At 41.4% G+C, this 22,267-nt stretch overlaps 1 protein-coding gene across 4 annotated transcripts in view, besides 3 other annotated features; it reads right to left on the bottom strand.

The window, feature by feature from the left end:
• Positions 1 to 1,274: 1,274 nt before the first annotated feature.
• Positions 1,275 to 22,267, bottom strand: part of ELOVL6 (ELOVL fatty acid elongase 6) — a 153,357-nt gene continuing 132,364 nt past the window's right edge. For all 4 annotated transcript variants that reach the window (XM_011532233.4, XM_011532234.4, NM_001130721.2 and 1 more), the window contains 2 exons: positions 15,032 to 15,183; positions 1,275 to 7,191 (listed from right to left, as the gene is read on the bottom strand). In XM_011532233.4, the coding sequence (XP_011530535.1) occupies positions 6,767 to 7,191; positions 15,032 to 15,183 (577 nt within the window). In that variant the 3' untranslated portion in view covers positions 1,275 to 6,766. The remainder of the gene's footprint in view (positions 7,192 to 15,031; positions 15,184 to 22,267) is intronic.
• Positions 6,419 to 7,618: an enhancer, noted in NCBI's record as "BRD4-independent group 4 enhancer chr4:110972146-110973345 (GRCh37/hg19 assembly coordinates)". NCBI's record gives its function as "activates an origin of replication core promoter dependent on BRD2, P300/CBP, MED14 and CDK7 cofactors, and independent of BRD4, by STARR-seq in HCT116 cells {active_cell/tissue: HCT116}" and the evidence as "EXISTENCE:reporter gene assay evidence [ECO:0000049][PMID:35650434]".
• Positions 10,781 to 10,830: an enhancer, noted in NCBI's record as "active region_21814". NCBI's record gives its function as "activates an Ori minimal core promoter by ATAC-STARR-seq in GM12878 lymphoblastoid cells {active_cell/tissue: GM12878}" and the evidence as "EXISTENCE:reporter gene assay evidence [ECO:0000049][PMID:35858748]".
• Positions 11,241 to 11,300: an enhancer, noted in NCBI's record as "active region_21815". NCBI's record gives its function as "activates an Ori minimal core promoter by ATAC-STARR-seq in GM12878 lymphoblastoid cells {active_cell/tissue: GM12878}" and the evidence as "EXISTENCE:reporter gene assay evidence [ECO:0000049][PMID:35858748]".

Raw genomic sequence — 22,267 nt, forward strand, 5'->3', positions numbered from 1 at the left:
CTGAAGTCTGATTTTCCTCCCCCTCCCCATCCCTTTTTGAAGTTAATAAAAACACTTTGTGTGCAGGATGGATTTTTCCCCATTTGACCCTAAGTTAAGAAAATACATTAAATAGATTGCAAAGTTCCATCTTAACAATTCTGAGATGTGAAAAGAGGCAATAATTTGGCCATGAGAAACCTGCACAAATAACGGTTTCTTGGGTTTTAAATATAAATGCTGTAGGGACATTGCTTTTGTACACATTGTAACAATGTGCCAAAAGGTGATGAAGAATGACAAACTATTTCACCTATAAAGTGTGCCAAAGAACTTTCCAGAACACTGGAATTTGAAGGCTAAATTATTTAGGGATCAGGGAGTGGATGACTTGGATTACTCCTACTAGTATCTGGCAGGCGTGAGTAACCTATTGCACCATTAACTAAGAAGGAGGTGCTGTACCCGTTGTTTTCCCTAAAATATATTTTGTCCTGAGACGCTCTGTCCAATAGTGCCAAGTATTAGAATTTTATTCATTTATATTCTCATTCTTTTCAAAATATTGAATGGCTGCAGCAAAATCCAAGCTAAGATTATGTCCAAATCTCACTTCTGTAACACTGGATCTAACAAGCACATTTTTCTCATCTATAAAAATGGAGTTTCAATTTAGACCATCTGCCCCATTAAGACTGCTCTGGCGGCCGGGCGCAGTGGCTCATGCCTGTAATTCAGCATTTTGGGAGGCCGAGGCAGGCGGATCATGAGGTCAGGGGTTCGAGACCAGCCTGACCAACATGGTGAAACCCAGTCTCTACTAAAAATACAAAAAGCCAGGCGTGGTGGTGCGCCCCTGTAATCCCAGCTACTCAGGAGGCTGAGGCAGAAGAATTGCTTGAACACAGGAGGCAGAAGTTGCAGTAAGCCAAGATCTTGCTGCTGCACTCCAGCCTGGGGGACAGAGCAAGACTCTATCCCCCCCACCCCCCAAAAAAATTGCTCTGGTGAACCAACAGAGGTAGAAAGCATATGAATTGTAAGATGCTCTATCAATCTATCAATGAAAGGCATTACTGAAGGGCTGGACATCTTATGGACATTTAGTCAGTAGTAGTTGAGGGCTACAGCATCTTTGGGCTCTACTAGAAAGCGAGGAGTTTTAGTGACTCATCTCTGTGCCCCAAGCCTATGGGTGTCAAGTGTGGAAATGGCATTTCTGAGTATTTGAGGAACCCTCAGTGTCCTAGATGTCCCATTTAAATTGCCCAGAGTAAGAGAAAACAGAAACACAGTTTGATTTTAAATCAAAAGTTATGATTTTATTTTTAATTTTAATACACCAGGAAAAAATATTTTTTTTAATGTCGTGAAATAAGCACTTGAAAATAACAACTTCAACATTGCTGTGATTTGCTCTGTGAGGCTTATATGGGTGGGCTTCCATATGAATATGGGCTCTGAGGTCCCCAAGAAGCTGAATCTTCCAGTGGTTTTCAAGATAGCAGCAAGCAACCTCCTGCCTGAATATGTCTAGACAGGCAGACCTGTTTGAAACGAGTATGACCAGGGAGGACTGTTAGGCTACTTCTGTGGCCTTCTTAGTTTTTGTCGATGGAAATAAAGTCTCAAGTGCTACTAAGCATTGGGAAAGTAACAGCATTTAAATACCAATGTCGAGTCAGAACCCTTCATGGCCGGCCCGAATGGGTTATAAATGTGGCTTGACCCTGACTTATGGGACCAGTTATTAATTTAACCAGTTACTTCAGAAGAGGTTACTACAATGCAGTGTTGGTTTGGACGTCTAGTGAAATATATTTTACTGTGAGACTTCTGCCTGCCCAGCCTAAAATCAAAGTGCCACTTTTGAGCTCTCCCAAGCCCCACTCACGAATGTGCTCCCACTGTCCATCTAACTTCTAGAACAACTTCCACATCACTTCCTTTAAAAAGTGTCAATCAGGAGGAAGGGAAGCCTGAGAATTCCCCCTGCCATCTGTGAGCTCTGAATTGTCAAAGTCTCTGAGGATGAGGAAAGTAACTTGATTCAACAGGTTTGTGTATGTTCTTCAAAGCTCTGTGCATGTGCCCTGTACCGGCCTCTTTAGCTATGAGTTGTGCCATATGGCTCGCAGATGTTTATAACTGGAGTCTGTCACAACAGCATTCAAGAAAATGCTGTGACTGCACTGACACTTGTTTTGTGTAAGTCTTGGACACCAGCATACAGAGGCTGTTGCTCATTGGCAAACTGGGACCTACCCCTTCATACTGATTGTCGGAACAAAATAGAGCATTGTGATTTCATCAGCTCTCACTTTAATGTGTATACACTACTGGCCAAATGTGGTGGTGGATCTTGGCAAAGTCTCTTCCTGATAGCAATGAGTCTGAGGCACAAAGAATCAGGTGTTGTATAGAAAAGACAAAGAACGATGTTTCAAAAGCTGTGGGAGACAATGACTCACAGCATGAACATAGGCTTTACGATCATCCTAAATTGAGAGCAAGGTATTTATTATCGAAAACAGAGACTGGAGAAAGACACTACATTTGACTACTGGGACATTCTGGGTGCTTATAAAATTTTGACATGATATTATTTTTCATGATGGAAACTTTTAAGGAATAAGTGTCTACAAGAGGTGGACATGGACCATGCTTATACAACTTAAAGCTCTGAACTCTGAGAGGCAAAGTCTATTTGTTCTCTACTCTCCTCACAGCCTCTTGAATCAGACCTTGGCCAATCCAGTTACTCTGTTAAAGAATCATTAAGGAAACCAAAAAAAAAAAAAAGCCCTCAGAATATGCCCTAGCTGCCTCGGTTGTGTGACACACACCGTGGTCTCTGAGTAGAGGCTGTACTATCAGAATAAAGAAAAAATAGTAACCTGAGCATCTTGTCTCTCCCAGGTAATTCAGAAGCTGGGGCTATGGCCAGACTTCTGGAACATTCTACTCTAGCATCACTGTACTCCAGGAGCTTTGTTACTCTGATGTGACAGGCTTTACCTTATGAAGATGCTACATCTGATTTAAAAAAACATTCTGGGCCAGGCACGGTGGCTCACGCCTATAATCCCAGCACTTTGGGAGACCAAGGCGGGTGGATCCCCTGAGGTCAGGAGCTCGAGACCAGCCTGGCCAACATGGTGAAACCCTGTCTCTACTAAAAATACAAAAATTAGCTGGGTGTGGTGGCGGGCGCCTGTAACCTCAGCTATTTGGGAGGCTGAGGCAGGAGAATTGCTGGAACCTGGGAGGCGGAGGTTGCAGTGAGTCTAGATCGCGCCACTGCACTCCAGCCTGGGCAACAACAGCAAGAATCCACCTCAAAAAAAAAAAAAAAAAAAAAAAGAAAGACATTCTGTGGGTCTCTTTCTGTTCTTCTAGGTTCCCACTGTCTTTCCCATCAATTCTACAAAACCCACTCATATGAAGTTTCTAACTCAGTCTAGACATATTAGTCTCTTTTCTCATCAGTTTCTTTACATGAGCAGAGAGGTGGAGAAGCGAGGGGATATAATCAAGCCTTTCTTTTCCCTCTAGCAATGTACATGTAAAGTATTCCCTCTTCTCCCCTTACTTTTGTAGTGGAGCATAATTAGAAGGATGGGAGTAAGTGACTTCGAATAACCACCTCAATCCATGGTTTTAATTTGGTACTTTGGCCTTGCGTTAGATGTAATATGGTAGTTACTCTTTTCCCATAAGCAACACTAGAAGGTCCACGTAAACCCCCTGCTTTATGAATAGAGCATTTCTCACTAGAACTTCATTGCAAACTCATGGACTTGGCTTGATGCTCAGACCTAGTGTATGAAATCATGTGTGTATGAAATAAAGGATTTTTTTTTAGCCCAAGAACAATGCTTTCACCATAGTAGGATCGGGATGCAGTGGAAAATCTTCAATAGAAAGATACTCTATTGCAGCATAGTGGGGCAGCTATAAAAACTTGCCTGCCCAAGTTTTTCTGGAATGTTAACTGGCAGCAGGATTATCTATGCAGCAGTCAATTCTCTGGTAGGTTTCAGATTTGTCATGGGCCAGTGATCCAGCCTCATATCTTGATATGATTAAAGCGGCTAAGCTGAGATGTTAAAAACAGTGTATTGAACCTATATTACCAAAATTTTGTTTTGTTTTGTTTTGTTTTAAAAAAAATGTGGCTTTTTTCCTCCCATGATAAACATTGGAAATGCCTTTAGATATATTTAGCTAATTTTAAAACTATTAAGACATTCACCCTGTAAACAAAAATTCCAAATTATTTTACAAGTAAAGACAAACAAACATGAACCTAATACCAAAATGAAAGTGCTTTGGAAGCATCATTTAGAGTCTTTTTAAGGTTTATGCTCACTTCCGTTTCTAACCTGCATTAAGAGATCTGCAATAAATCACTCAATTAAATAATTAAATCAACCAGATGAGCCTCCAATGGGTCCTTCAATTAAATTCAAGTCAACTGTTATGTGGCCTTCTCCTCATTTTAATTATTCTCATTTTCTGTTATAAGGAAAAAAGGCTTATTGCACGGTATCATGTATTTGCGAAGCTCAAAATAACATTTGCATCCTAAGCATCTATTAGCTCTTATAAAAGGACCTGTCTTTTCAGCTCATGTCAGATTTTGCATAATTTATAATACATTCCTCCATCAGTTGTGTCTCACCTATGAACCAACATCAAGACATTATAGACTGCTCACAATCATTTAACATAGATGTAACAGCTTTCCTCCCCTGCACTGTCCCCCACTCCCCATTTCTTCCAGTCATGACTTGGTTTGCATGGATTCTTTGTTCACTGCTCAAACCATTCACACAGAATGGAATAAAACTTTATTCTTTTTAAATTCCACACATAAACGAGATGCTGAAAAAGCCCTTGCCATCTCTGACAGAAAAGCAGAGCAGCTCTGTTTCATGAACGACAGCACAATTAAAGCTAAAATAATATAAAAATAATTCGAAAAAATCCCTTTTACTGTACACTCTCAAAGCAAGAAAGAGAAACAACAGTTTTGTTTTGTTTTTTTCTGCTAGCCAGAAAATGTGTTTCTATTCATTTGGGCTTTGAAGTTCAGTGTACCCCACATCTGTGTGTCTGTGTGTGTATGCGTGGCTATGTGCGTGTAATCTATGCAGTGTGGAAGCCCCTAATCTTTTCATCTAGTTTGCCTAATCATTAAGCTACTTAACCAATTATAATACTATTATGTCACATTGAACAACTTTACATAATTGCTTCTTTGAAATACTAGAAACATTGACACATGTATTTGGCTTGTAAAGGACTGAAATATTACAGAGAATATTATCCAGCTTTTTTTTTTTAAAGAATATGGCTCTTAATAAATTGATTTTGAGTTCCAGAGCTAAAGTCCCTTTTAAAACATTTCTGAAGCTGACTTGAAGCAGGATGAATATCTTCTGATTTGGCCAAAGACATGACAAGTATTTCATATCACTTAAAATTTGAGGGATAAGTGTATGGGGGCCCTTTGTTGTCAACTGTTTTCAGCCAAACTTGCCTTGAAGTTTGTTGTAGTATTGCCACTCAGCCAGCAGAGGGCCCTTTAAACACCTCTACATTGCTTGGGGAGCAAATGCAGATGATGCAGAAACACAGTGTTCCCCCAATATTTCGAACAGCCCTGTGATTTCCTTTTGGAATTCACAAAAATATCGAAAATATGCGCTATACTGTGGGGTTTCATTTGGAAAGTTATGAGTGTGTGTGAAGTCAAACAGGGAGGGGCATACACACCATCTGTCTGTCGAATTGATCTTCGGCTCACCTCTTTTCCCACTGCCTTTCTCCCTTTTCCAGCTCACAGTGGTCCTGGGCCGGGCCTTTTTACAAATACTACAGAACCCGTTTTCACATTGTTTGGTTGAGTGTTTATCTTTTTCAATTCTGTATTTACTCTTCTGTTCAAAAGCCCGGGGCAACTGAACAAAAGGATAATGCTTCATATCTCACTTAAGAGTAGAAATTACAGTTCAACTATCAGAAATGCTCTGGGATGGAGCTGCCCCCATGGGACCTGGGCTGCACTGTTTCCATCCTCCCAGGAAGAATCTTGGGGAAGTATTCACCCCCTTTGGTTTTGGCAAACTCACTAGCCTGAGGCTATGCAGTGAAGATGAAGTTAGTTGAAATATAGTTGTTTACATCTGTTTTCATAAGGATGATTAAGACATCTTTTCTCATGGGGTCTACAGCAGCTGGCATTTCTTAAAAAGGCTTTAGTTTCTGCAAAAGCATTATCGTTCTAGATATACACCCTGTGTCTCTTTCATTTTTGTCTTTTCTATTGGCTCCAGTTTAGTGTCCATAAAGTTAGAAAGGATTGTGTGTGTTGTGCTCGCACAGTTTCTAGAGTAAAAATCTTTCATCTTAGAGAAATGTGACACTTAGTAAATACATTTTTTCCTATGTGTTAATAGCCTTTGTTTGCCTTTGATTAGTCTCCTCTGCTTCTGGCTTGCTTTTGTTCTCCCTTGTCCTAGAGTTGATAGATAAAGAGGGAATGGGGTCTTCCAGCAGCAGTGCTTGGAGATGGAGGTGCACTCAGTGAGTCCTCACCCTAAAAGGATCATAAACTTACTGGGTTAAATCAACCTAATTATCCCTAAGCTGCCTTGGGTTTTGTGTTTGCTCATGTTTTGTTTTGTTTTAGCTGCACCACGTGTGATTCCTTGTGCCATTTTCTTTTGTCTATTATTTTTCTTGATGACCCTGAGCTATGGCTTCCTCCTCAGTTCCAACACTATTCAGCTTTCGTTGTTTTCCTCATTTTGCCGATGTAGGCCTCAAAGAAGAAATGGCAGAAGAGCACAAGGTAGCTGAGGTACATGAGTGAGGACCAGAAGATGTTCTGAAAGTGAGAGTGACACTGGTCATGCTGCATCCAGCAGAAGACCAGGTAGTTAACCACACAGCCCATCAGCATCTGAGTGATCTGGGACAAGGTGATGAACATGGCAAACTTCCGGGAGACTCGGAAACCTGCCGCCCGCAAGGCATAGTAAGAGTACATCACGGCGTGCACGCCATAGTTCATAGTCATGAACCAACCTCCCCCGGCAACCATGTCTTTGTAGGAGTACCAAGAGTACAGGAGCACAGTGATGTGGTGATACCAGTGCAGGAAGATCAGCTTCTGCTTCCTCAGAATAATGAATATTGTATCTCCTGGAAGACAAAGAGGAAGAAGGTACGTGAGATCCTTGACCACCAGTAACGATGACTTACAGTTTTGTAAGAGGGTAGACATCCTGAGCTAGGACTGGAGAGTTACATAGACTGGATTAGAACCCTGAACTGGTACTTACTAGCTCTGTGACCCTGGACAAGTTAGTTATCCTCACTATTTCTAGTTTCCTCATCTATATAAATGGTGATAATTTAAAAGAGTAGCATGGAATCACCTGAGGATTAAGTAGGATAATCAGCATGGCTCTCTTCACACACAGGAGGCAAGCAGCAAATGTTTCTTTCAAGGTATTTCACACAAAATCTTATCCATCATTGATCTGGAAGGGACATTAACAACTATGTTGCCAACTCCCAACTCAACTATACATTTTAGGAAATACCACCTGGAGGGGACTGGTGACTTGTCTTAGATCATTTATCAATCAAAGGAAACAGACTGGAAGTCAAGTGCCCAGCAAAATGTTCTAAGGCTTCTCTAGAGTAGTAAAACCATAATTTTTCTTTGGTACATGATAAAAGGTACCCCTCAAACATATATCTTTGTGAGCTCCCTAAATTACACAGCCTTGCCAAATGGCAGTGAGAAAAGTAAAACCTAAACAAAAGACAGAAAAAGGGGGACAAAAATCCTCTTCTATACACATTTGCTGACAAGGGTAATAGGAATATTTTATACCAGTGAATCAAGTGAGGAGCAATTGAAAATAACAGTTTTCATTTTACAGAATTAACTGAAAAGATTTCCAGGATCTATCAAAATTTTGTCTAACAATATCCCTTTGAAGGAAAAGACCATAGCTTCTGAGGCAGGGAATTTATATTATGAAAGCTAGAATTATGCTGAGGTGGGTAGATGCTATGTATCTGCAATGCTTCACTGAAAAGTTTCAGGGCTCTGAAAATAGACTGTAGAACATTTATGTAAAATTGGATGAAGAGCAAGCCCAGTGAAAAATATACCCAATTACATTAGCGAGTAAGAAAATAAGGGAAGTTACGCTAGGATGTGTGACAGAAACAGGCTAATGCAGGTGAATGCGTCTTTCTCCTTCCTATCTCTATGGTTATGAGACATGGGAAAAATCGACATCCTTCATGACCTTTGGTGAACTCAAACCTGGCTTCTTTTTGTGTAAAAAACAAAAGCTAGAAGGTTCTTTTAATTTTTTGTTTGTTTTTGAGACAGGGTCTTGCCCTGTCACCTACGTGCCATCGCAGCTCACTGAAAACTTGATCTCCTGGGCTCAAGTGATCCTCCCACTGCAGCCTAAGGAATAGCTGAGACTGCAGGCATGTGCCACCATGCCCAGCTAATTTAAAAAAACTTTTTTAGTAGAGATGAGGTCTTGAACTCCTGAGCTCAAGCTATCCACCAGCCTCGGCCTCCTAAAGTGCTGGGACTATAGGCGTGAGCCACCGCCCTGAGAACCCGGCCCTGGTTCTTCTTCTTCTTCTGAAATTTAATTAAGCGCAACAAAACAAAACAAAACAAAGAAAAACTAGTACTTATTCCTACCTTATCCCTCATGTACTTCACAGATGGCCTAAAACGCTTGCACTCAGCAAGGTCAAAGAATGCTGGACTATGGGGAAAGACTTCTAAGGTTCTAATGGCAGTGGCTGGAAAGATACAGGTGGTGCCCCATTCCATGCATTAGGAGAGCTATTGGTTTATTTTCCTACTAAACTGTTAAACACTATTATTTCATATTTGTTTACAATAGAAAAAGAAAGTTGGCCGGGTGTGGTGACTCACACCTGTCATCCCAGCACTTTGGGAGGCCAAGGCGGGGGGATCACCTGAGGTCAGGAGTTCGAGACCAGCCTGGCCAACATGGCGAAACCCCATCTCTACTAAAAATACAAAAATTAGGCTGGCACGGTGGCTCACACCTGTAATTCCAGCACTTTGGGAGCCCGAGGTGGGCAGATCACAAGGTCAGGAGATCAAGACCATCCTGGCTAACACGGTGAAACCCCATCTCTACTATAAAATTAAAAAAATATCCAGGTGTGGTGGTGGGTGCCTGTGGTCCCAGCTACTCTGGAGGCTGAGGCAGGAGAATGGCATGAACCCGGGAGGTGGAGTTTGCAGTGAGCCGAGATTGTGCCACTATACTCCAGCCTGGGCGACAGAGTGAGACTCCATCTCAAAAAAAAAAAATTAGCTGGGCATTGTGGCAGGCACCTGTAATCCCAGCTACTCAGGAGGCTGAGGCAGGAGAATCACTTGAACCTGGGGAGGCGGAGGTTGCAGTGAGCCAAGATCATGCCATTGCACTCTAGGCCTGGGCAACAGGGCAAGACTCCATCTCAAAAAATAAATAAATTAATTAAATAAATAGGAAAGTTGTCAGTTGTTATATTTCTGAACCTACTGTCAAATTTTTGTTGAAGTCATCTTCTCTCTTGCAAGATGCCAGATTTTTATGGTGTCTATAAGTGTCAGGCAGACTGATAATGATGGATGATGATGGTAACCCTCATACATATACTTAAGGGACAAAACTGGTGTCAGGAGACCCGGGATCTACTTTTCAGTGTTAAACTGTGCTATTTTTGTATCTGTCAGAGATCCACCGTTTCTGTATAAGTACTACTCTGTTCCTCCAATCCCTCTGTGGACAATAACGCAGACACAATCAATTCCAGCTACCTTGGTTCATAGTGTAAAGAAGGTAGATGTCCAAGATACTGTATGTTTAAAACAAGTTTAGTCATTCATAATTGAATAGATGCTTTCATGAGTCTCTTAGCATTAACTAAAATATAAACCCCTATACAATTCCAAACACATTATAATAAATTTGTCAAAGTAATATGCATTTCATCCTAACTCTTTAGTTTAACCCTATCATCACTTTTATATTAAAATTTTATTGTCTAAAGAATGATTAAGAAAAACCATATTAGAATGGGCTAGTGTGGGATGGAAAGTGGAAGGTACAATTCTGGAGTTAAGAATGGCTTTGTGTTTCTCCTGTCTGGAGGTGAGGGTATATCTCAGGTTTAACTGAGATACACTGGGTGTTTCTAGTTACTTTAGGGAGGGGAGTGGAGTGGAGGGTAGGAGGAGGGGAAAACATGTCCCGAAATCTCAAGAACAAAATTAATTTAAATTTGCTTAGGAGTTTTTTCCAGAACACATATGCACGATGGTGGGTGCGGGAATGAAATTGATCATCTCCCAGCAATGGCTCTGGAGCTGATCAGTAGCACCATTCAACACCCTATCAGGGTTACTATCCCCCAGACTGCTGACCCAAAGAGTGGTAGTTTCCCTCAGGCAGGGGGAAACTGGTGGGGCTCTAGAAGAGCTAACCAAGTCCTCTCACGGTCTTGGATATGGCAGCTGAGATGCATCAGTCAGGCCACTCTGGCAGGTACAAATTATTTTTCCTCTGGGGAAACCACATAATGTCACATTTAATTTGTCATGAGCCAGAGTCATGCCAAGTCATGGTAATTTCAGGCTTTCCAGAAGCTATAGAGTGACCCAGAAATGTTAACTATCAGAGGGACTGTGTATTTGAGTTGGTCAGTCAATCTTTCTTGTTCAAATGTCCTGTTGGCATAACGGGAAGGACATTGGCCAAGTACAAGCAATGGGACTTTAGACTCTCGAACGTTTCAGTCCTGTCATTTTAGCTACCTCCTGGCTCATGTTCTCTGTATCATGATTTCTCTAACCTTTGGTCCAACTATTTTCATTCAAGAGACAGCTTTCAGGCAGGGCATGTTGTTCCTTATACCCAAGTGTCCCTTCTTAACTACACCTTTGCAGCTGCAGGAAAAGCAACAAGCATTTGGAAATCCCCAGGGTGTTCTTGGCCACCAAGAGACACAGAGAGGCTACTCTGTGTGTGTGGTTTGTCACATACAGCTGAGTCCCTCTTCCCAGAGCTAGCTAGAGTGCTGCTGAGTCAGAGCTTCAAAAACAATGACATGCTCAACTGAGCAAGGACCTGGGCTCAGAGCAGATATTTCCAAGTTTTAACAAAACAAAATCTCAGCGGGTTTTAATATAATCCAAATAGTAGGTGCTCAGAGATTTGGCACACAAAGCAGGTTAGTGGCTCTTTTCCTCTCACTTGTTCTAGTGGCCTACAACCCCATAATTCACTGAAATGAGCTCACGGTTTTCTGCTGAAACAGAAAGGTCTTCTTGCTATTTATTAAGAGTTTAGTGAAGGGGGAGTTAGTGTGGAATGAGTAGCATTTCAGTTGGAGAAGATGCAAAAGTTCTGGAAGTTGATGGAGTAATGGTTGCTCAACAATCTGAATAATATGTATATTTTACTGCAATTTAAAACAAGAGTTTGAGTTTGTGGGAGCTGGGGGGGGGGATACAGTTTCAGTACTATACATGGAAGAACTGTTTTTTTCTCACTAGATCTTTTCCTTTTGGTGCTCATAAAGAGTCCAGAATCTTAGAATATTGAAAGGTAAAATTTGAGACCTAAAAATAAGAAAAGTTCTAAATAATCCAAACGGGTAAATCTCTCTTAATTAAATAGTAGCGACAAGATTTTCCAACTGCAAAAACTGGAAAGAAATTTAACCTCCAAAATGCATGGGAAAAAAAAGTCATCCAGGCAAACATGTTGACTACATAAAGACCTAGATCTGCTTGTCTTGGAGACACTTGCACTGATTTTGGACCTGTTTTGAGTCAGCGGTTTACCTCTGAATGGCCATTGTCAGAGGAGCTCCAGAGTATTTGAAGAACAATATCCCATATTTTAAAATGTTAAAAAAAAAAAGTATTCAGAACATGAAAATTATCTCTATAAAGGGTTTGAAACTGTATGAAGAATTTGTGTTACTAATTAGCCTCATTAAAGAACTATGTCAAGATTAGAATATTATTTTTTCCAACACTTCAATCTCATATTTTAACTGCATCGATTATTGGATAATCCACAAAGGACTACTACAAATTATTGTGATGAATGAGCCCTTTCCAGGGAAAGGGATTATCATGCCAGCAGCACACCACTCCTGTTGACTGCAAATAGGAGACTGGATTATGGCTCCTTTGGGGCTCAAGAGGGAACACTGTATTCAATTACAATGTCCGCTATGAGGCTGAGGGGAATGGACATTTGGGCCTGGATTAAATTAAGACAGGTGATATTAACATCATCAGCATCAACACAACCAAGATAGAAGATGAAAATATGAATACCTCTGGGTGCTACACTAATAGGTCTTCTCTAGGAATCCTAAAAGTCAGGAGGACAGAGAGCATAGGTCTGATTATGTCTTTAAAGGAAATTAATCACTACAGATAGCTTGAGGTGGCATTTCAATAAATTATTCCTCCAAAAGGTAGAAAGGACTATGTTTGTTCTCAAGTACCTCAAATACAGCTGTATATAACTCAGAACACAACACAATTAGTCCTTGCAGGGAAAAGGCGTTTCTAGAAGAAAACACTGAGGCTGCTTTTTTGTGATCTGAGGCTTAAAGGTCGGAAGTCCAGTCTCCAGCCATAGTCTAGTCTCCTACTTGCATCCTACTGGCATGATTATTTCTTATTAAAAAAAAAATTGAGGGGGAAGTAGTAAAAGGTAGAAACTGTTGAAGTGTTCAGGGGTAGCATTCAGGGGAAATCACGTTTCATGCATTTACTACATTTATGTAGTTGTAGTCAGGCCTTTGTCAAAAAAGATAGGGGATTAATAAGGTTATTAAATAGCATAAAAGAGGGATATATTTCTCAACTAAAATAATTCAGACTTTAATAACGTGTAATTTTATTTTAAAGAAAAAAAGCCACAGCCGGGCACAGTGGCTCATGCCTATAATACTAGCACTTTGGGAGGCCGAGGCGGGCTGATTACCTGAGGTCAGGAGTTCAAGTCCAGCCTGGCCAACATGGTGAAACCCCGTCTCTACTAAAAATACAAAAATTAGCCGGGTGTAGTGGCACACACCTGTAATCCCAGCTACTCGGAAGGCTGAGGCACGAGAATTGTTTGAACCCGGGACACGGAGGTTGCAGTGAGCCGAGATCGCGCCACTGCACTCCAGCCTCGGCAACAGAGTAAGACTCTGTCTCAGGGAAAAAAAAAAAAAAAAAAAAATCACAAAACCCCAAGAGTAAAGAATACATGCTCACACTCTCAGATCAACCCCAGTTTGAGAACAAGTGCTCTGATTCAGAAACTCTATGAATCAAAGCAAATTAAAATATTCTCATATAATTTTAAAATTCCCAGAAATACCTCTTCAGATTTTGCAGGCATTGTCTGTAAATCCAGGGTGAAAACCACTTCTCTAGCCTATGACTTCATACCTAGTGGTACCAATACCTCCTGGGGCCTGGTTCATAAAATCTGTATTGTAAAATTCCTTTTAGATAAAGTTGCCATTCTATTTCAGCCAGTGCTTAACATAAATGCACTGAATGAATGAATGAATGAATCCACACTAATGCATTTTACCCTGAGACCGTTTTCATATGATCCGTGTGTGTAGGCGTTTGTGTGTCTGTTGGAGGGGGGGAGCGGTGCAGGCATGCACATGCACGCGGTAGTTATCTAGTTATTTTGGACTATCTTTGTACCTCTGCCCCTCTTAGGAAAGGTTTTCAGGAAAAATTTTCTTCTGTTGTTCTTCCCTTGTTTTTGACCTGGGAAGACAGTAGCTCAAACCAATTGTCATCTACTTATAAACAGCAGGTTTCTGGCTTCCAGTGGAAGGTGGCTGGGTTGCCGGCCCACACAAATCAGACAGTTCCCATTCTATCTGAATGGACACGGGGCGTGAACAAGGGGCACCTTACAGAAGACTGCTCATAGCTTATATTGCAGGTGGTTTGTAAGGAAAGTACAACACCAAACTCCCTTTTTAGGAGAAACAGGAGAGGGGACAATACATATTAGGTTGGTGCAAAAGTTAACTGCGGTTTTGCCATTGAAAACAATGGCAAAAATTGCAATTGATATCTTTTGAACTAAATATGTATAATTCTTAATTGCAGGTGAAAAAAAACCCAGAACCCCAGAGGTGACCAGGTTTGCCTTACCAGTTTGTACCTGTACAATCTGTACCAGTTTGCTAGCATTACTCATGGATGTACTCAGAGCTTATTGTCACCACTAGATCTCTTTCTGTGTAAATAAAGACATCTTCCTGGAAAACTGTGCCCACATTAACTCCTTGACTTTACTATTTCTGGTAACCTGTGCCACACTTACATTCAAGACCATTCAAGGGTTGAGGGAAAAATTATAGAAATCTACAAATACAGCCTGTATTTTCTATTACTTTCTGGAAGGTAAATTACATTCCCCTTCCCTAAGGCCAGTCTTGATGATTAAAATCAAACACCACCAGAGACCAACCCTCAGCATTTGTTAATGAGAACAGGAGGGTCCCCAAATGAAAAGCTTAATTCCTAATCTGAATCCTAACTCTACAGATGAAAGTATGCTCAGATATGGGACTTGGAAATAGCTGTGTTGCTCTTTTCTTCCCCCATGTTTTAATATTAGCTCAGCTCAGTGGGCCTTTTAAAGGGGTCTCTGTACATTTTATAAGTCCGTGGAGGTATATTTTTAGTAGAGCTCGAAAATCAGCATGTTCAGTATAAACTATCTACTCTTAATATGCACAATGTAAAATTATTTAAAAGGAAAGAGGGAGCGAACAATAAAAAGTAGAAGTCAGGCAAGAACTCAAATTCATTCATTGTAACTTTCTTGCAACCAACAAAATAGGACCTTCAAAATGTTTCTTTGCTCACTAAATAAATACTGTGGATATGTTGCTACAAAGAGAGGGAGAGGAAATGGAAGAAGATACTCACCTAGTTCGGGTGCTTTGCTTAGCACAAATGCATAAGCCCAGAATTTGCTGACAGGTCCATTGTAAAAACCCTGGTCACAAACTGACTGCTTCAGGCCTTTGGTCATCAAAATGTACACCATATAAGCACCAGTTCGAAGAGCACCGAATATACTTCATAATGAAAAGAGAAAAGAAACAGCATTTAGGAAAATAGTTTCACTTCTCACATCAACCATACTTAGAAGACTGGTTGGCCACTGGCAGGAAATAGGCATAAGAATCATATTATTTGTATTTCCTTGAAAGCATCTTAAAATGTTCTGTAAACAAGAGCTAATACAATGACTCAAGGGCTTTATTCTGAAACCATATATGATACCACTTCCTCTTCATCACTGTTCCAAAAAGAGGTCATGAAAAAGGGTAACAGATTCAGAGCAGGATCTCATGAAGAATGCTGGTGACCTTTGAGTTTCAGCTTGGGAACTATTCCTTGGAGAGCAGATGGGTGTGGCTGCAAACTCTTGGAATTATCTCAAATTTGCCCTGTGCCCAATCATTCTCCAAGTTCTACTGGCTCTATTTCCTGAAAACCTGTTTACCTCTTTAGGCAAACTTTTCCTCTACCTCTGGACTCGCCTTGCCAGCCCAGGCTTTTTGTGCCCTCCTTGGATTTCTCCAGCAGTCTCCAAATCACTTTCTACTGTCTGATCCATCTTTCTCAGAGATGTCAGAATGAGACTCCTTCAAAAGCTTAGCTCTGTCACCTCCTCCAGGAAGCCCACTCAGGCAGAGATAAGTGCTCACTCCCTGAGCTCCCTAGAACCAGTGTTGTGCTAATACCACCCCAACACTGTTCTTCAATGCCCCGCAATGTGTTTAATCTCCACATAGGCACAGGTGCTCAATAAAGACTGTTGAAAAAGTGAGATTGTTGAAAAAGTGAAGAAAAAATAAACAATTTCTTTAAATCAGAGAACTGGTAAGGAAATAGGAAGTTCTGGAACACATTAGGCTCAAGAAACACAACCTGCCATGGGAAAGCACTTGGCAATAGGAACAAGCAGCCACTATTACGAAGTGAGCCCCTTAAGTGTATGTCCCAGAGTGTGTGAACCATGCCCGGGACTGAAAGGAGAGCTGGCTGACCATGTGGGGAAGATGGACCTGCCTAGCCTTTTCTGCCCAAAAGGGCAGCATCTTACTCTAGAAGTCAGCTGAGAGATCAATGAATGAACAACTGTTGAATTGGGAAATGGAGCCTTCTTTTCTCCTCAGAGGCACTGTTTTTTACTTAAAATATCTTAGAGTTGCTCTAGAATAAATCATTCCACTAGGCTAACCTGTCCAGAAAGCACGCATCTGCCAACTAGAACTAAAGGTCAACTTTCTACAGTATCAAAATAATGAAGTTTAATTCCTGGCAATTGTCTATTAAGTTGGGTCTTTGTAAGTAGCTTCTCTAAAGGTATAAAGACTCCATCAAATGGTGTTACTCTTTCCACTGTATGAAATTGTCCTGCAGAGGATTACTGTCATTTTACAGATATAGATCCTGTTTAATCCTTCAGTGGTTTTTCTCTGCACTTGGAATAAAAACCTCAACTCCTTTATCAGGACCGACAAGGCCTCTCTGCACTGCCTCTCTCTCCCCATTCTCCACTCTCACCTCCTGCCATTCTCTTCTTGTTCACTGTGAGCCAATCACTCCAGAACTTTCAGACACTTTCAGTTTTCTGCCTCAGGACCTTTGCATTTCTCCCCTGTTCATAACAAAACTGGCTTTTTACTTTCTTATCTTAAGGAAATGTCTCCTCCCCGTGGAATGACCTAAGTCTTTATAGTCCATTATCTGTCCTAATTTGGGGATGAAGGGTTGATTTCATTAGTAGCATCAAGTAATAGAGATTTTTCTGTCTTATCTGAATTTTTTTTGTGTACTGTCTTTCCCTCACCAAATGATGGCTTTTTTTTTTTTTTTTTTTTTTTTTGAGACAGAATCTCGCTCTCTCAGCCAGGCTGGAGTACAGTGGCATGATCTCAGCTCACTGCAACCTCCGCCTCCTGGGTTCAAGTGACTCTCCTTCCTCAGCCTCCCAAGTAGCTGGGACTACAGGCATGCACCACCATGCCAGGCTAATTTTTTGTGTTTTTAGTAGAGATGGGGTTTCACTATGTTGGCCAGGCCGGTCTCAAACTCCTGACCTCGTGATCCACCTGCCTCGGCCTCCCAAAGTGCTGGGGTATAGCCCAAAACCCTTCCTCTTACTCTACTTGCTGTTAGACTATGTAATTCCCACATGATCAGAGTAGATCCAAAGAATGTATGCTTGAAATGGTTGCTATCCTTTCATCCTTTTGGGTCTCAAAAAATCATTGTAATTTATTCCCAATTTCTAAGGTATTCACACAAGTTCATTTATTCTTTCAGTGGTCAAATATTTATTGGCATGGTTTTAGATGATGGAGTGAAAAAAAATCATTAAGCTAACTCTGGCTAGTGAGTGGTAGTCCTAGAAGACTTCAGAGGAAGTGGTATTTGAATTAGGGGCAAATAGGTATTCACAAGTTTGAGGGCTAGGGTATGGGGAGGTCAGTTCAGAGCACTGTAGAGTTGAAGGTTTTGATATCATGGTGACCTATAATATTGCTGACAGCAAGTGTATAGCACATATTATTGTCCCATATCTGGACATGTGCCTCATTCCCTAAGCTCTGAACAATAAGGCTAACTCAGAACAGAGGACAGTAGCACTTTTCAGGGAAACCGTCAGTGCCAGCCATTGGGCCCATGTGTCTGTGGGCAAAGGCGCATTGTTGGGATGTGACAGTGCTACTGCTGGGGAGCACTGTGGGGGCCAATGGGATAATTGTTATTTGTGGGGAGCCACTAGCTCTGCCCCTCGCACATTTCATCCTCTGCACGCTTTGGAACCAGGTGGTTTTTATCACAACAGTGTCACATCGTGACACTTTAACAAAATACACTTTAAGGTGAAGAGGCTTTCCTTCCTCCCCAAGTTACATTAGCTTGAGAGGCAGCGTGATGCAGCAGGCAAATATGCTGCTGTTCTGCTACCCCTAGTCCTTACTTAGGCTCACAGCAGATGCTGCTAATCAATCTCAGCAGTCTTTCTGGCCATCCCTGGACCACACATTTAAGTTCTCGGCCACTCTATGCCACTGTCAATAGATTAGAGTTGCAAATCGAACCCTTTGTACAATAGGCTCCAATCACAGTCCAATCACTTATTACTAACAGTTTTATAATTAGCCAAGTTACTGAAGTATTTTTTCCTCTGAAATGAGAATAATATCTAACATGCAAATTCATCGTATGAATTTTTTGAAGCAATATAAGTAAGGTATTTAGCTAGCATCAAGCCTCTGATACACAGGTGCTCAACGAAACAGTTTTCATTATATTACTCTTCTTACTCTATCACTATTTGTATTACTATTATTGCTGATTTACTTCGGCTAACCCTCAATGTTGAAAATCACCTTCCTCGCTGATCTTATTTTGTCAGGTAAGAGAGGTTAAGGTTAATTAACCCTAATTCAAAGTTAAGGAAACTGATTTACAGCTAGTTCAATTTGCCACATTGATTGTTCACATTATTCCTATTGCTATGAGAATTTTTATTTATATAGATATTTTTCTTGGACAAGTGAGTCTCTAGGAGCCGAGGATGGCTGTCATTCTCGAAGTACTTCTCAGGTTTCCGGAGGCCTGCTCCTGGTGTGGCGACCCCAAGGAGGGACATCTCCTGCAGTGGGGTTGCTCTTTTGGAGCAGTCGAAGTTGGCCAGAGCGTGGGGTCAAGGAGGGACAGCCTAGGCAGTCCACACCTGGTGGGCTCAGTCCCCCAGTTCCTGATCCTGACTCTCATCTCCACAAAAGGTAACCATGCACCAACTTTCCACAAGTGACAACTAGCAAGTTTACGACAGGATGTGAAATGAGCACTTTCCATAGAAGGGCTTGAAGGAGAGGCTGTTGGTATAGAAAAGCTTCTGTTTCAAGTGAAATGTATCTTTCCTTCAGATGATATAGATTATTCTAAATCTAGAGCCTCAAAGAGGCTGAGGGTCTGGACCACTGTGTTGAATGAAGGCAGATGATTACTACGTCACATGCCTTTTCCCAGCTCTATGGTCATACTTTAAAAAAAAAAAAGAAAATAAAAGAAAAAAAGAAATATACCATACAGGCTGGGCACGGTGGCTCATGCCTGTAATCCCAGCACTTTGGGATGCCGAGGAGGGTGGATCACCTGAGGTCAGGATTTCGAGACCAGCCTGGCCAACACGGTGAAACCCCATCTCTACTAAAAATACAAAAATTAGCCAGGTACGGTGGTACACGCCTGTAATCCTAGCTACTTGGGAGGGTGAGGCAGGAGAATTGCTTGAACCTGGGAAGTGGAGGTTGTAGTGAGCTGAGATCGCGCCATTGCACTCCAGCCTGGGCAACAAGAGTGAAACTCTGTCTCAAAAAAAAAAAAAAAAGAAAGAAAGAAAGAAAAAGAAATATACCATACATATCATTTTTGTCAAAGCCAAATGAAATCAGTGGAATAGCAGAGAGCTCTGTGGAGGGAGCAGTATACGTTTCTGCTCCCTCTGCAACATCAGACACAATGCAGCAAGGCGATGAGGAGGTGGGGATCACCATCCTGATTAGCTAAGGTGCTTTCTTCTCAAACTCCTGCACTGGATTCCTAATCCACAAGGAGCCTGTTTCCTGATCACTAGCTATTTGCCATGGGATGTCAGGAGGGGGCCAAGAATATCCATTATACAATTAACTGTAATACTTTGTGGGTGGGGGAGGGTAACTTCTATTTTGTACTGTGTACATTTCTGCACTATTTGACTCTTTTTTATTTTTTTTAAGTGATAAGATCTTGTTCTGTTGCACAGGCTGGAGTGCAGTGGCGCAATCACAGCTCACAACAGCCTTGAACTCCTGGACTCAAGTGATCCTCCTGCCTCAGCTTCCCAAGTAGCTAGGATTATAGGCAGAGCCACTGTGCCTATTTAACTATTTTTAATCAAGCACATATTAGAAATTTTTTTTTTAATGAAAATGGGGTCTCATCATCTTGCCCAGGCTGGTCTTGAACTCCTGGGCTCAAGCAACCCTCCTGCCACAGCCTCCCAAAGTGCTGGGATTATAGACGTGAGCTACTGCACCTGGCCTCGATTGATAATGTTTAAAAATCTACTTTCAATAGGTGCCTGGCCACAATTGATGCAATCACAATGGTACTAGCTTGTGAGGCTTTCCTAGTGAATTTCTAGCATGACGTTGACATATAACACTAATCTCTAATCAGCCCTTGGATGACAAACTGGCATTAGCACTCGGGGAGAAAAGACTGTTTCATGTATTAAATCAACACGTACTTAACACACACCAAGTGTCAGATATTACAGTACTCATGAGGGAGGTTGGGGAGGGGGCAGTTTCTACAGCCTATTGCAGGAGACAACAAACATGAAAATAAATATATATGTATAACAAAAACAATAGAAACAGTGGCACTGAAGAGCTGAAGGGTATGTATGTGTATATGGTTGGGAGTTTCCTTTGGATATTTACATAAACAGATGTTGGAATTTTTAGAATAAAAGTTTAGAAAGCAAGTTCTTGTTTTCAGGTTTTATTTTTTCTTGTGTAGGTGTATGTATTGGGGTCCTTTTTAAAGATGTATAAGAGATATAGCTAATCTTCTTTAAAACCAGGCTTTGGGCTGGGCTGGGCACAATGGCTCATGGCTGTAATCCTAGCACTTTGGAAGGCTGAAGTGGGTGGCTCACTTAAGCCCAACAGTTTGAAGCCAGCCTGGGCAATATGGTAAAACCCCATTTCTACAAATGCGAAAATTAGCTGGGCAAAGTGGTGCACACCTGTAGTCCCAGCTATTTGGGAGGCTGAGGTGAAAGGATCGCTTGAGTGCAGGATGTCGAGCCTGCAATAAGCCATAATTGTGCCACTGCACTCCAGCCTGGGTGACAGAGTGAGACCCTTTCTCAAAACGACAACAACAGCAACAACAACAAAACTTCCTAGGCTTTGACCATGACGTCTGACCATTTACCTACTTGGAAAAAGACTGAATAACTCTATATTTTAACCTTCCACTTTTATTTCCATCTGTAAGTCAAAATGGAATAGCTCAGTAATGTTAAGAATTCCAGAATTCTGCCCTGGGGGGAAAAAGAGCCTTGGGTATAAATCATCAATACTTTATTTTCACATGAACATCAATAGTTGATTTAAAAAAAAATTTTTACATTGTTCCCTTATTGATCTTCGTCTTAAATGTAAGTTTTTTTGGAATCAAACCATAGTTTCTCAAGGATCTTTTAATTCTGAAATGCTAACCACCAACCAATCTCCACCCTACTAACTCAATAACCAAAGGTACAATTACTTTCCCAGTATTAGGCAATTAAAATGTTTTATCATACTTCTATCCTACAATCAAAGGGGGGTGGGAGTGGGAAAGGAGTTGTCAAAAAACAGCAACAGGTGATCCAACAGCAGCAACTCTTTATTAACATAGGAGAGGTCACTGATTTTCCTGATAACAAAACCTGAACTGCTGTTGGTCTTAGACTCTGACAGTTTCCAGAGTAGGAAGAATATCCAGTGATGCCAGAACAGGTTAAAACAAATTAATCTCAAACCCACTGTAATGCCTCTAGATTTGGGGGATGATATAGGATTACAGTGCCTGTGATGCAGAATTATGGCATCTCAGGCCAGGCACGGTGGCTCATGCCTGTAATCCCAGCACTTTGGGAGGCCGAGATGGGCGGATCACGAGGTCAGGAGATCGAGATCATCCTGGCTAACACGGTGAAACCCCGTCTCTACTAAAAATACAAAAAAAAATTAGCCGGGCGTGGTGACAGGCGCCTGTGGTCCCAGCTACTCGGGAGGCTGAGACAGGAGAATCACGTGAACGCAGGAGGGGGAGCCTGCAGTAAGCCGAGATTGCACCACTGCACTCCAGCCTGGGCGACAGAGACTCTGTCTCAACAAAAAAAAAAAAAAAAAAAAAAAAAAGAATTATGGCATCTCCATGTCAATATCATGTCTCTACAAACAACATGCACCTCAAACTCTAAACCCTTTCCACACTTGAGAACAAGCATCTTTATTTTTATTTTATTTAAGTTCTGGGATACATGTGCAGAACGTGCAGGTTTGCTACATAGGTATACATGTGCCATGGTGGTTT

This window comes from Homo sapiens, chromosome 4, assembly GCF_000001405.40.
Source record: "Homo sapiens chromosome 4, GRCh38.p14 Primary Assembly".
NCBI classification, from domain to species: Eukaryota; Metazoa; Chordata; class Mammalia; order Primates; family Hominidae; genus Homo; species Homo sapiens.